The sequence below is a fragment of the Homo sapiens genome, chromosome 10 (assembly GCF_000001405.40).
Source record: "Homo sapiens chromosome 10, GRCh38.p14 Primary Assembly".
NCBI lineage: Eukaryota > Metazoa > Chordata > Mammalia > Primates > Hominidae > Homo > Homo sapiens.
The window spans coordinates 99,510,277-99,524,914 of NC_000010.11; the positions used below are offsets into that span (position 1 = coordinate 99,510,277).

The following is a 14,638-nucleotide window of genomic DNA, read 5'->3' on the forward strand; positions in this document are numbered from 1 at the left end:
GTTAAAATGGCTTATATCCTGAAAACAGGCAATAACAAATGCTGGCAAGGATGAGGAGAAAAAGGAACCCTTGTACACTATTGGCAGGAATGTAAATTAATACAACCACTATGGAGAACAGTATGGACGTTCCTCGAAAAACAAAAACAGAACTAGTATATGATCCAGCAACCCCACTGCTAGGTATTAATGTATACCCAAAAGAAAGGAAATCAGTATATCAAAGAGATATCTGCACTCCTATGTTTATTGCAGCACTATTCACAATAGTTGTATTAGCAGTTCTCACTCTGCTAATAAAGACATACCCAGACTGGATAATTTATAAAGGAAAGAGATTTAATTGACTCACAGTTTCACATGGGTGGGAAGGCCTCACAATCATGGTGGAAGGCAAAGGAGGAGCAAAGTCACATCTTGCATGGTGGCAGACAAGAAGAGCTTGTGCAGGGGCCCTTCTATTTATAAAACCATCAGATCTTCTGAGACTTATTCATTCACTACCACAAGAACAGTATGGGGGAAACTGCACACATGATTCAATTGTCTCCACCCGGTCCTGCCCTTGACACGTGGGGATTATTACAATTCAAGGTGAGATTTGGGTGGGGACACAACCAAACCATATCAATAGCCAAGATTTGGAATCAATGTAAATGTTCATCAACAACCAGTAGATAAAGAAAGTGTGATACATATACACAATGGAGTACTATTCAGCCATAAAAAATAATGAGATCCTGTCATTTACAACAACGTGGGTGGAACTGGAGGTCCTTACGGTAAGCGAAACAAACCAGGCACAGGAATACAAACTTTTCATGTTTTCACTCATTTGTGGGAGCTAAAAATTAAAACAATTGAACTCATGGAGACAGACAGTAGAATGATGGTTACCAGAGGCTGGGAAGAGTGGTGGGTGGGTGTGAGGAGTGGGGGTGGTTAATGGGTACAAAAATATAGTTAGAATGAATAAGATCTAGTATTTGACAGCACAACAGGGTGACTACAATCAACAGTAATTTATTGTACATTGTAAAAATCACTAAGAGTGGTAATTGGAATGTTTATAACACAAAAAAGAATAAATGCTTGAGGTGATGGATACCCCATTTACCCTGATGTGAGATGTGATTATTACACATTGTAGGTGTGTATCAGAATATCTCATGTACCCCATAAATATACACACCTGCTATGTACCCATACAAATTTTGTAAACAAATTTTTAATTGCGATTTATAGATACATAGAATATTATTCAGCCATAAAAAAGAAGGAAATCCTGCCATTTGCAACAACATGGATGAACTCTGAGGGCATTATGCTAAGTGAAATAAGTCAGACAGAGAAAGACAAATACTGTATGATCTCACTTATATGTGGAATCTAAAAGAGCTGAACTCATAGAAAAAGAGAGAAGAATGGTGGTGGCCAGGAGCTGGGGACTGGGGGAAATGAGGAGACGCTGGTCAAAGGGTATGAACTTTAGTTACAAGATAAATAAGTTCTGGGGATTTAATGTACATCATGATGAATATAGTTAATAATACAGATGTTCCTCAACTTACAATACAGTTACACCCTGATAAACTCATCACAAATTGAAAATATCATGTCAGAAATGAATTTAATATACCTAACCTACCAAACATCATAGCTTTAGCTTAGCCTACCTTAAACGTGCTCAGAACACTTCTGCCTAGGTTGGGCAAAATCATTGAACACAAAGCCTATCTTATAATAAGGTATTGAATATCTCGTGTAATTTATTGAATACTGTGCTGAAAGCAAAAAAAAAAAAAGAATGGCTGGATGAATATTAATGTACACATTAAGTCGAAAAGTCATAAAGTTGAAAAAGTGTGAGTTGAACCATCGTAAGTCAGGTACTGTGTGTACTGTATTGTACACTTGAAATTTGCAAAGAGAGTAGATCCAAAACTTTCTCCCCATATACACAAAAAAAAAAATGGGAGAGGGGGCAGGAATTTTCCTTTTAAGTCATGGTGGAAATTTGTTACAGTAGCAATAGAAAACTAATTTCTCTGTGTGTGTGTGTGTGTGTGTGTGTGTGTGTGTGTGTGTGTGTGTGTGTATTATGTCTTTACTGACTAGTGTATGTGACTACTGTATGCTTAATTCTCCAGTACTTCATAGATCCTTAATATCCTCAAATGGAGACCATCTCAGTGACTGCAACAAGTTTCCCAGGCTTCAACTTCCAGATCTTCAAATCTACTCATCTCAAAAAGAAAACAAGAAAAGAAGCAGAAACTCTAGAAGTCACTCTCTTTACTGTCTAAAGGGACTAGTGACAGAAACCTTGTCTGTCTGCTGAATCCCCAACGCCTAGAAGAGTGCCTAGTACGTAGTGGTAACTCAATGAACATTTGTTGATTGACTGCTTGATTGAGGAATAGTAATATAGAAATTTGTATCTTTTACCAAAGCCATGTACTGGAGCCCTTTGCTGCTGCAGACTCTGAGTCTCATCACGACCTCATCTTCCTCCAGGGAGAGAGATGAATGCAAATGACCCACTAGGGTAGAGCTGGGGTTGAAATAAACCCAGGAGTAGCTCTGCTTGGCCAATGAATACTTTGTGTAAGCGTAGCTTATGCTGTGCATGGAGATATATATACAAAGCTTCCTTAGTTATTTATTCCACCAAAATTAAGAGTCTACTATGTGTAGCAGTCTCTGCCACATTCTAAGAACACAAAGATATATAGGACACAGCCACTGCCATCCTAGCATTAACAACCTAGGAATGGTTGTAGGCATCCTTACAATGTGGTGGACACTCTTTTACATACAACAATCTCATTTAAATATTAGAACAGTAACCAGATAAGTGGGTATTAGTCCCACTTTATGGATGAGGAAACTGAAGTTCAGAAAGTTAAATAACTTAGACAAGTTACTTAGCAAGTAAATGGTTCATGCCAGGTTTAGAATTCAGGTTTATCTGGCTCCAAAAGCACACAGTAGCTATTGACATTGCATAGTAACCTACAGTTTGCAAACCACTTTTATTACACATTATCTTACTCCTTCCAACAAAGGTTATGAAATAGGTATTACTATACCCATTTTACCAAACAGAAAACTCAAATTTTCTACCCAAGTCACAAAGTTCTTCAGTGACAAAAACAGAATTGGAACCCAGATCTTTTGTCTCTAGCCCCTATTCCCTTTCCACTCTGCCATGGTTTCATTAATCTCTGAATTCTTCACACAGACCCACCTGCTATCATGAGTGTGATCTAAGACCCTGATGAAAGCACATGGAAGAATATAAACAAGGCAAACAGGACTGCTAGAGTTGAAGCTCATGCCAGGTGAACATTTATTAGTTAGAGCTGGGTTTACTCTGTGCTTTCAATTATAATCCCTTGCTTGATCTGGGGCTAGCAATTTCATAGCTATATTCAAGTGTCCTATTGGGTGTATCTTACCCATTTCTTAACATTTGGAACAAGCCCCACTTTGTTCAACACTTAAACATTGTAACAGTGTTCATCAAAGCTCATGGTCTAACTAGTTACCTGTTACAACAGAGAAGACAGGTCCCCAATTAATCAATATACTAAAAGCTCTTCTCCTCCCTTCCAGTAAGACTTTGGCCTTGGCAACTGCACAAATATCAAATTAGGCTTGGATCAAAAGAATGAATGGTTATCAAGGTTACTTAAGATTGATTGTGATTAGGCCAGGCATGGTGGCTCATACCTATAATCCCAGCACTTTGGGAGGCTGAGGCAGGAGGATTGCTTGAGCTCAGGAGTTTGAGACCAGCCTGGGCAACATAATGAGACTCCCATCTCTACAGAAAAAAAATAATAATTAGCCAGGCTCCCACTTGAACCCAAGAGTTGAAGCTGCAGTGAGTTATGATCATGCCACTGCACTTCAGCCTGTCTCAAACAAAACAAAACAAAACAAAACAAAACAAGACAAAACAAAACAAAACAACTGATAGTGACTGGAGAATGTATCTGTGAAAATTCCTGAAGAGTAGTGATCATTTCTTGTTTTCATTTCTGTAGCTTCCATTGCATCTAGGTCAACACCTGGTCCATGGCAAGTAATTACTCATTGAGTGAAAGCTCCAAATATGCCAACTCAGGAAGACTCTGTAAAGGATGATAGAACCTAGGAACACCTGAAAGCAAATGGAAGCCAGTGCTTCAAGAAGAAAAAGTTATATCTGCCTTTGCCACTGACCATGTGATTACACTCTGAACTCACCACCACCAAGCGTAAGAATTAAACTTGGCATTTAAGTCTAGTGGACTACCTCTTCCACAAACAATGTGGTCTTCAACGAGTTTCTCTTCTTGTGTGTAAAATATAGGGTCAAGGTAGGAATGGGGATTCAGATTAAATACAGGATTGATTTCAGTTAATTCCTGAAGTCTTTTCAGAACCTTTGCCAGCACTTTGGGAACCTTCACCAAGATGCCCCATCTCCACTTCCATCTCTGCTATTCCCACATGCCTCACCTGCTGTGCCCACCAATGTCACGTACACCACCTCCAAGCAGTCTCCACAGAAAAGCCTAGAATCCCTGCTTTCCCACCCACCTCCCAGCTCTCCAAGGAGATCTTCCTTTCATCATCCAAGCAGCCAACCAAAGTGTTGATGCTAATCCGTGAGGATCAGATGCAGTGATTCTTACACTTTTGTGTGAAAAAAATCCTCTGAGCATTAAGATGAAAATGCAGCATTCTGGATCTACCCACAGAGGAGGTCTTAGAAGGAGAAGGGACTCTAGAATCTTCTAACAAACACCCCTAGAAGATTCTGATGCAGATGATCCAAAGATCACTCTTTCAGATGAAGTGATCTAGGTTTTGATCCTAGACCACAGGTTCTTCACCTGGCAGTTTATGAATTCCCAAGGGATCTGAGGACCAAATCCAGGTCCTTAGTTAAGTACATGAACTTAAAAAGGGAAAAATACAGGCATACCTCAGAGATATTGTAGATTCTGTTCCAGACCACTGCAATCAAACTAGTGGTGCAATAAAGTGAGTTATATAAATTTTTTTGTTTCCCAATGCAAATAAAAGTTATGTTTACACTATATTATAGTCTACTGAGTGTGCAAGAGGATTGTACATCCCATAATTTAAAAATACCTTATTGCTAAAAAAAAATGCTAACGATCATCTGAGACTTCAGCAAATCATAATCTTTTTGCTGGTAGACGCTTTTGCCTTGACATTGATGGTTCTTTTGACTGATCAAGGTGGTTGTTGCTGAAGGCTGGCATGGCTGTGGCGATTTCTTAAAAGAAGATGACAATCATGTTTGCCATATCAATTGACTCTTCCTTTCACAAAAGGTTTCTCTGTAGCATGCAATGCTGGTTGATAGCATTTTACCTACAGTAACTTCCTTCAAAATTGGAGTCAATTCTCCCAAATCCTGCCACTGCTTTGTCAACTAAGTTTATGGAATATTTGAAATCCTTTGTTGTCATTTCAACAATGTTCATAGCATCTTCACCAGGAACAGATTTCATCCCAAGAAACCCCTTTCTTTCTTTCTTTCTTTCTTTTTTTTTTTTTTTTTTCTGAGACGGAGTCTTTCTCTGTCGCCCAGGCTGGAGTGCAGTGGTGCGATCTCGGCTTATTGCAACCTCCACCTTCCCAGGTTCATGCCATTCTCCTGCCTCAGCTTCCCGAGTAGCTGGGACTACGGGCGCCTGCCACCATGCCCGGCTAATTTTTTTGTATTTTTAGTAGAGACGGGGTTTCACCGTGTTAGCCAGGATGGTCTTGATCTCCTGACCTCGTGATCCACCTGCCTCCCAAAGTGCTGGGATTACAAGCATGAGCCACCGCGCCTGGCCAAGAAACCACTTTCTTTGCCCATCTATAAGAACCAACTTGCCATCCATTCAAGCTCTACCCTCAGATTGCAGCAGTTTAGTCACAGCTCCACTTCTAATTCCAGTTCTCTTGCTATTTCTACCACATCTACAGTTATTTCCCTCACCAAAGTCTTGAACCTCTCAAAGTAATCCATGAGGCTTGGAATCAGCCTCTCCCAAACTTCTGTTAATGTTGATATTTTGACCTCCTCCCATGAATCACAAATGTTTTTAACAGCATCTAAAATGGTGAATCCTTTCCAGAAGGTTTTCAATTGACTTTGCTCTGATCCATCAGAGGAATCACTATATATTGGCAGCTATAGACTTAGACACTGAGTTTCTTAAATAAGACTTGAAAATGAAAATTACTCCTTGATCCATGGGCCGCAGAATGGATACTGTGTTAGCAGGCATGAAAATAACATTAATCTCCTTGTACCTCTTCATAAGAGCTATAGGTGACCGGGTCATTGTTGATGAACAGTAATATTTTGATTTTTTTTTTTTTTTTTTTTTTTTTTGCTGAGCAGCAGATCTCAACTGAGGCCGAGGTGGGCAGATCGCCTGAGGTTGGGAGTTTAAGACCAGCCTGACAAACATGGAGAAACCCCATCTCTACTGAAAATACAAAATTAGCCGGGTGTGGTGGCGCATGCCTGTAATCCCACTACTCGGGAGGCTGAGACAGGAGAATCGCTTGAACCTGGGAGGTAGAGGTTGCGGTGAGCCAAGATTGTGCCATTGCACTCTAGCCTGGGTGACAAGAGCGAAACTCTGTCTCAAAAAAAAAAAAAAAAATTTAGTAAACCATGCTATAAACAGATGTGCTGTCATCCAGGATTTGTTGTTCCATTTACAGAGCACAGGCAGAGTAGATTTAGCATAATTCTTAAGGGCCCTAGGATTTTTGGAATGGCAAATGATCTTTGGCTTCAACTTAAAGTCACCAGCTGCATTAGCCCCTAACAAGAGATTCAGCCTGTCATTTGAAGCTTTGAAGCCAAGCATTGACTTCTGCTCTCTCATGATCAAAGTCCTCAATGATCTCTTCTTCCAAGACAAGGCTGTTTTATCTACATTGAAAATCTGCTGTGTGAATCCAGGAGGCAGAGGCTACAGTGGGCCAAGATCGTACCATTGCACTCCAGCCTGGGCGACAGGGCGAGACTCCGTCTCAAAAAAAAAAAAAAAAAAAGAAAAGAAAAGAAAAGAAAAAGAAAATCTGCTGTTTAGTGTAGCCACATTCATCAATTAACTTAGCTTGGTCTTCTGAATAACTTAGTGCAGCTTTTGCATAAGCATTTGCTGCTTCGCCTTACATTTTTTTTTACATTACGGAGATGGCTTCTTTCCTTAAATCTCATGAACCAACCTCTACTAGCATCCAACTTTTCTTCTGCAGCTTCCTCACCTCTCTCCACCTTCATAGAATTAAAGAGTTAGGGCCTTGCTCTGAATTTGGCTTTGGCTTAAGAGAATGTTGTGGCTGGTTTGATCTTCTATCCAGACCATTCAAAATTTCTCCATATCTGCAATAAGGCTGTTTTGTTTTCTTGTCATTTGTATGTTCACTGAAGTAGCACTTTTAATTTCCTTCAACAACTTTCCCTTTGCATTCACAGCTTGGCTAAATGGTGCAAGAGGCCTAGCTTTTAGCCTATCTCAGTTTTGGACATGCCTTCCTCACTAAGCTTAGTCCTATTTCTAGCTTTTTATTTAAAAGAGAGACACGTGACTCTTCCTTTCACTTCAACACTTACGGGCCATTGTAGGGTTATTAATTGGCCCAATTTAAATAGTGTTGTGCCTCAGGGAATAGGGAGGTTTGAGGAGGGGAGGGCAGAATGGCCTGTCAGTGGATCAGACAGAACACATACAACATTTATCGATTAAGCTCACTGTTTTATATGGGCACAGTTCATAGTACCCCAAAATAATTACAATAGTATTATCAAAGATCACTGATTACAGATCACCATAACAGATAGAATAATAATCCAAAAGTTTGAAATAGTACAAGTATTACCAAAATGTGACCCAGAGACATGAACTGAGCACACACTTTTGGAAAAATGCCACCAATAGACTTGCTCAATGAAGGGTTGCCACAAACCTTCAATTTGTTAAAAATGCATTATCTGTGAGGCACAATAAAACAAAGTGTAATAAAATGAGGTCACCTGTGTATCTTTTTTATTTTTATTAGCTGTAACTAGAAGTTAACATTTTTCCTTCTTTCTTTCTTTTTCTTTCCTTCCTTCCTTCTTTCTCTTTCTTTCTTTACTTTTCTTTCTTTTCCTTTCTTTCTTTCTTTTTCTTTCTTTTTCTTTTTTGACACAGGGTCTCACTTTGTCACCCAGGCTGGAGTGCAGTGATCATGGCTCACTGTAGCCTTGACCTCCCGGGCTCTAGTGATCCTTTCACCTCAGCCTCCTGAATACCTGGGACCACAGGTACATGCCACCATGCCCAGCTAATTTTTTTATTTTTATTTTTTGTACACATGGGATCTTACTAGGTTCCCCAGGCTGGGCCTGAACTCCTGGGCTCAAAGGATCCTCCCACCTCAGCCTCCCCAAATGCTGGGATTATAGACATGAGCCACTGCACCCTGCCTAGCATTTCTTCTGAATGTCTTTTGATAAAGGCAATAAACCCAGTAGTATTAGTAGCACCTGTGACTCCGCCACCAATAGAAATCATTGATATTGTTAGAGAACATTACTGCTATGGCAGATACCTTGAAATTCTATTTACACTCATCACTGCTTTGAAATTATGGTTGTTGTTTAGACAGATCTGCCGCTAGATTTTGTCATTTAATCAAATAATAAAGAATTGTGTATATTACCATATCATTATTTTTAAAAATATATTTTTATAATTGTATTTTAATGTCATTGGTTTATTTTGTGATCTATGTATTTTATTTTATACATTTAAAAATATTATTCTGGGGGGGTGTCAATAGGCTTCACCAGACTGCCAATGGGGCCCTTGGCATGCACACACAAAAAGTTTAAACAGTCCTGCTCTAGGCAGAGCCAGTTACGCCAGGAAACAATTTCTGGCAACCCTGCTCTCTATTTTCTTTCTCTTGCTCCTCCCCAGAACCCAACCTTTCAGCCAGGTGGTGGACTGCACCAGAATTACAGAGTTCTCAGGGATAAAGAAGGAGCCACTCTGGGCATGGACTGTGTCCTGAAAGTGACTTTGGCAAGGGTTAGGAGAGGCTGGGTTCTCCTGCAGCTTGCCTGGGCCTGGACAACTTGTCCCTTTGTTTTCCCAGTCAAACTGAGCCACTCTTCCTAGTTCAGAATCCACTGTTTAATACAAATATTGATTTGAGGGGTTAAGAAAACCACTCCACAGATGAGCAGAAACTTCCTGGAACCATTCACAAAATATTCATCAGAAATAGAAACCCAGAGAGGTGGAGAACTAGGACTGCCCACTCTTGTGCCAGCACCATCATCTCTACATGATTTCATATTTACAGGCTGGCCCAAGAATAAATATGGTGGCCATATCATTTTGGAAAGAGAGGCTAAAGAAGTAATGCCAAACAAGCCGGCCAAATGCCTCCCTTGGCTTAATGGGTGTTTGGGCAGTGCCCACCAATTACAAGTCCCTCCGCTTTATAGACTCCTAAAGTAGCTGCTGAAAGCACTATCCAGTTTATAAATGAGAAAGAAGCCTGAACACAAGCATCCTGGTGGTTGGGCTGGCAGCTCCTGCTAAGAGTTTATCTTTGCATCCACAGCCGGAAAGGAATCGGCATTCCTAGGCTTGTGACTTAAAGAAAATTAATGACTGAGCCAGACACGTCCTGAGGACCCCCTACCCTTGCAGTCCTAACACTCCGGGGCGAGATTTCTAGGTTAGGGGGAATGCCCCATCTTCTGGCTTTGGCCAAGCCTGGGATTTCTTAGAAGGTTGCGGGGCCAATCAGCAGCCATAAATCTTAGAGAACCTTCACCGTTTTACAAGGGAGTTCGCAGGGGCTGCCCTTCTCCCTCACGCGGTCTATTTACAACGCCGAAATCTCCGTGTTAATGGACCTAGGATAATGGTGTTTACTTTACCGCGATAAAGCGCTGGGCTTCCTGGGGGAGCGGCTGTAAAATGTCCTGGAGGTAGGGATGGAACGGGCGCCGTAAAAGCGGGCGCTGGAAGGGCGGGGGCACCAGGTTCTCCTTCAGGCCGGCGCCCCCGCCCTCCACCCTCTAGGCCAGGCTGAGCAGCCCAGGCCTGGCGGGCGAGCACCGTTCCCACATAAATCACCAGCGCCAGAGTCTCGGGAAAAGGCGCATTTTTCATTGCTGGCTGCAGGGCGACTCCAGACCGCGAACGAGAAACAGAAGTTGTCTTTAGATAAACCGTTCACCGGAGCGCGCGTTGTGGCAGCAGGGTCCGCAGAGCACAGGGCAACCTGGGTCTGGCGCTGCGCCCCCGCCACCGATCACCTCCCAGAGGCCCCGCAAGAAACCCAGATCCTCTCAAGGGCTGGTACCACGTCCTCCTGCCAGAGAGGAGATAGGGAGCCAAGCGGGAAGGAAAAGGAGAACTTCAGGGTTTGGAGAGACTGGAGAAGTTGTGCTCGCGAAGGCAAAACCTCAAAAACCTGAAAGCCTAACTCCACGTTTACCAGCAATGTAATTTCGAGCAAGTGACTTTACCCCTCTGAGCTTCAGGAATCTTAAGTTGTAAAACAAAAACTACTACCTTCTTATTCTGTGTTCAAAATTGACGTGAAATCAAATGCAAGTTTTATAACCGGACCCAGGAGGTTCCCTGAAGCCCCTGGAATTGTTGGCAAAGGGTCACGCGTATCTGGGGAGAGGATCCCAAGCAAGTGCTCAAACCACAAAACAGTGAGAACCACCGCCCTAGCTCTGTAGACACACTATATGGCTAGAATCCTGGCTCTACCACTTACTAGCTGTGAGATCTTGCTCAGGTTACCGAAGCCTCCTGTTTTCTCTTCTGTAAAAAGGGATAATCGTTCCTACGATTATGTGGAGACTAAAAGCACTAGGCACGGTGTCTGGCATGTAGTAAATGCTAAACGATTAGCTACATTCACGCATCACCCCCTAGCCCTATAGCAAAGACACTTGTCTCCAAAGTCAAGAATTCCAGGCCTAGTCTTTTCAAACTGAAGGCTGCCAAGATCTATGAAACCCTACATTGGTCCTGGGCGCCAGTGGGCAACTCGCCCATTGTCAGATGGCGCCCTTTCCACTGCTTTGGATGGGTGCGCGGGTAGCGTTTTTTTTCCCGGGCTAGCAGTGGGTAAGCGTGTGCGCACCTTGCGCCGGGCGCTGCAGGGAGTCTCCAGCTCCTGGAGGTGCGCACTCGCTGGGCGGCCGCCCTTTGAAGGCAGCTCTAACCTTGCCGGCCGCCAGGCGCCCGGGGCTTGGCCCTAATCCGGATTTGGAGGCCGAAGCAGTAAGCAGGCCGTCACCGACTGCGAGGAAATCAAAGCGGCCGCCATCCTGGTAGCTCCCGGTCTTGTTTACTTGTTGACGCGCGCTCACCCAAGCAAGACGACCTCGAGTTTGGTATCCGCCTAGAGAGAAGAGGGGTAGGGGTCCCGGGAGCAGCCAGCCTCCACCCCGCTGGAGGCCAAGGTTTCCAATTGCGGCTGACAAGTTTCCTTCCCTTCTAAGGTCAGAGGTCGAGCCTGGGAGAGGCCCCGCTCCCCTTTCCCTCCAGGCCCACCCGGCGCGGTGTCCTGGAGCCCCGTTTCCAGCCGCGCCTTCTTCTCCCCTCCTAGCTCGTTATCCATTAGTATAATCCTCTGTCCAAACAGTGCAGCCGGGACGGCCAGACGTTTGGTGTAAACAGACCCGGGGGAACAATTCTAACGATATAAATAAAATAACCATTAATAGCGCAAATTGTTCGATGAACCGAGCACCCGGACTCCAGCCTCGCTGGGGTTTGTGTACACAGCGTGGACGCCACGCATCCGTCAGGTGAATCTGAGGTTCTTGTCCCGGCCAAAATCTAAACCAGGCGCAGGTGAGGTCCCCTCAAGCGCGTCAAAGGGGACCCGGCTCCTAACACTCACAGGCCGCGACACGCACGCGGCTCAGGACAGACGCACACAGCGAGGTCGCCAGGCGGCCGCAGCTCGCATTAACGTAACCGCCGGGGCCCGCCCCAAACAGAGTAACCGGGGTGAGCCCGGCTCTTCAAAAACTCTACCCCTCTCCCCGTGGCCAGCCAAGGCCTCAAAGGGCGCCACCTGGTCACATCGGCAGCCTCCGTGTGAGCAAGGACACAGAGCCCACACCCCAAACGGAAAAAAATCAACCTCCACTTGTCCCGGGCTTCATAATAATAAACTAACATTTATTGGGCGTTTCTTGTGCCAGGCACCACGCTAAGTGCTTCACAGAGGTAATTTCCTTGAATCCTTAGGCGACCTAAGAGGTAGATGCTTCTAGTATTCCCAGTTCCACAAGTCAGAAAAGCAGAAACCTCAGAGAGGTTACGGAATTTGCCTGGAGACCCATGGAGACAGAATTTGAATCCACAGCTCTGCTCCAGGAAGTGCACGGTGCCTCCCCGAGATGCAGCCACTTGCGCAGATTCCGGGGTGCCTGGCTGCCAAGGTCTGAAGGCTAGCTCCAGCGCATTCCCGGCTCCGCCGTGCTGCAGGGGGTTTGCTTTCCAGTGGGAAGTTCCTACTTCTCCCTCGGCAGAGTGGTCTAAGAGGTCAGGACAGAGGCAGGAGGGGAGCCTCCTTGGAAAGCCCTGTGACCTATTCCCAGGGACCCAGCAGTGGGCTCCCAGCGGGCCCTGCTCTGGCGTCGGGGTTGCAGATACCGCCCAGGAGGAGGCGAGCGAGGCCTCCGGGACAATAGGTCAACCCTGCGGGGGTCGCGGGGGGAGGCGGGGTCACTTGGAAAAACGCCTCCCTGGGGCCGGATGGCCGTGGAGTCATGGTTCCCGGAGTCTGGCTGGGGCAGGACGTTGTCTCCAGCCCACCCAGGCGTGGAGCGGAGGCGTCCTGCACCCACTCCTTACTTGCTTCGTGACCTTGGACAAATAATTTTATTTCTGGGGCCTCAATGTCCAAGGCTCTAACATGGGGCGGGAGGGGCGATGATACTTTTCTCCGAGGGATGTAGCGATCAGAAGAGACCTTTGTGTGGAACGCTTTGTTCACCGGTGGAAAGTTTATTATCATGATTAGTGTTAACTTGACAGTGGGCACTTCAGAAGGCGGGGACGAGGGCTGGCAGCCCCATACTGAATAGAAAGCGAAGGACGGAGGTAGGGAGAAAGGAAACTGCTCTGGGGGGCGGAGGTGGGGGTACACGTAGGAGGGAAGGGGAGGGGGCTAGAGGAGGCTCCGCCCCACCGTCCGGCAGTGTTTATTTTCAAGGCAGCTTCCCGTCAATCCTGTCACCGGGGCACATTCTTTTCGGGGGCTGTGAACCACCGTCAGGGCTCTGCAGGAAGATTTGAGGAGGGGGAGGGCTGTCGAGTAGGGAGCAGGAATTCGCAGAGTAGAGAGAACTGCGTCTGGGCAGGCAGTCCCTGCGTGGCGCGGGGGAAGAGAGGAAGCTGAGTGTTCAAGGCAAGGAATTTTAACAACTTTGGGCAATTTACCTCACCCTTCTGAGCCTCAGTTCCCTCCTCTGAAATGGTTATATTAATAGGGCCAAAGACAAGAGCTGTTGCAAGAAGCAGAAGCAGTAACAATGGCGGACACTTAGCAAGAGTTTACAGCAGCCTGGAGATGTTCTGGGATCTTCATACCCAATGAGACAGCGGACTCTCCCAGCCCAGTAGAAGTCTCTTGACCATGGTCTGCCAGTTTATGTGGGGGCTGGGTGGGGAGGGGAGGCTCTTCACCTCTGAGCCCATTGGTGCTTGTAGAAAAGCCATGAACAGTAGCTAGTTCTGTCCGTATGGTCATTGGTGGTGGGATTGCTAATGTTATTGTTGTCAGCTGTATTATTTCTATTGTTACAGCCACTCACTACCAACCCTAAAAGGTAGCCGCCAGTAACTCCTTTATGGAAAGGAAACAGGCTCAGAGAGGGTAAGTGACTTGCCTAAAGTCACACAGCAGTTGTGGGGCCAAGCGGAGAGATAAGAAACCAGGCAAATCCAATGGCCAGATGCTGTCACCCACCGCAGAGGTAAAAGGAGAGAGGGCACAGTTTGGTGCAGGGCAAGGCCTGGGTGAGAGAGGGACACCCACCGCCAGGGCAGGTCCCCAGCAGCTGATTTATTTGCATTCCAGCGGGGAGGCTAATTGGCCAGATCTTTATCTCAACACGATAACAATGACATGAGACTTCAGGGATTTGTTTACAGCAGCTAAAAATGATGCATTTGTGGGAGTGGGAAGCTGGGTTGGAGTGCGGGTTTTGTTTGCGGCTGCTTTAGCTTCAGAGGGTCGGGAGTGGCTACTGGGGGAGTGGGGAGGCTGAGAGGAGGCTGCTGGTCATTCTGAGAGTATTTCCTAAAACTAATGATTAAGAATTAGTGTCCTTGTTTGAAGACCCCCAAAAACACAAAATTTGATGGACAATTAAATAATGCTTTTCTAAGTGGGAAAACAGAGGGCCTGGGAACCCAACTCTCCGCCGATCTCTGCTCAGCTAGAGGAGAGGTTCGGCACCTCTGTGCCTAACAACCGCCCCTCACCACGCACACCCCCAGCCGCCACCGCAAGAACCGTTTCTCCTCTCATAGGTGTGGAACGCTCTGTAAGTGCTTTTCTT

The 14,638-nt window shown here is 45.3% G+C and overlaps 3 annotated features.

Moving 5' to 3' along the window:
• Positions 10,516–11,395: an enhancer, noted in NCBI's record as "H3K4me1 hESC enhancer chr10:101280549-101281428 (GRCh37/hg19 assembly coordinates)". NCBI's record gives its function as "activates a minimal SCP1, AML or CMV promoter by ChIP-STARR-seq in naive H9 embryonic stem cells {active_cell/tissue: H9 hESC(naive)}" and the evidence as "EXISTENCE:reporter gene assay evidence [ECO:0000049][PMID:30033119]".
• Positions 11,396–12,275: an enhancer, noted in NCBI's record as "H3K27ac-H3K4me1 hESC enhancer chr10:101281429-101282308 (GRCh37/hg19 assembly coordinates)". NCBI's record gives its function as "activates a minimal SCP1, AML or CMV promoter by ChIP-STARR-seq in naive H9 embryonic stem cells {active_cell/tissue: H9 hESC(naive)}" and the evidence as "EXISTENCE:reporter gene assay evidence [ECO:0000049][PMID:30033119]".
• Positions 12,276–13,155: an enhancer, noted in NCBI's record as "H3K27ac-H3K4me1 hESC enhancer chr10:101282309-101283188 (GRCh37/hg19 assembly coordinates)". NCBI's record gives its function as "activates a minimal SCP1, AML or CMV promoter by ChIP-STARR-seq in naive H9 embryonic stem cells {active_cell/tissue: H9 hESC(naive)}" and the evidence as "EXISTENCE:reporter gene assay evidence [ECO:0000049][PMID:30033119]".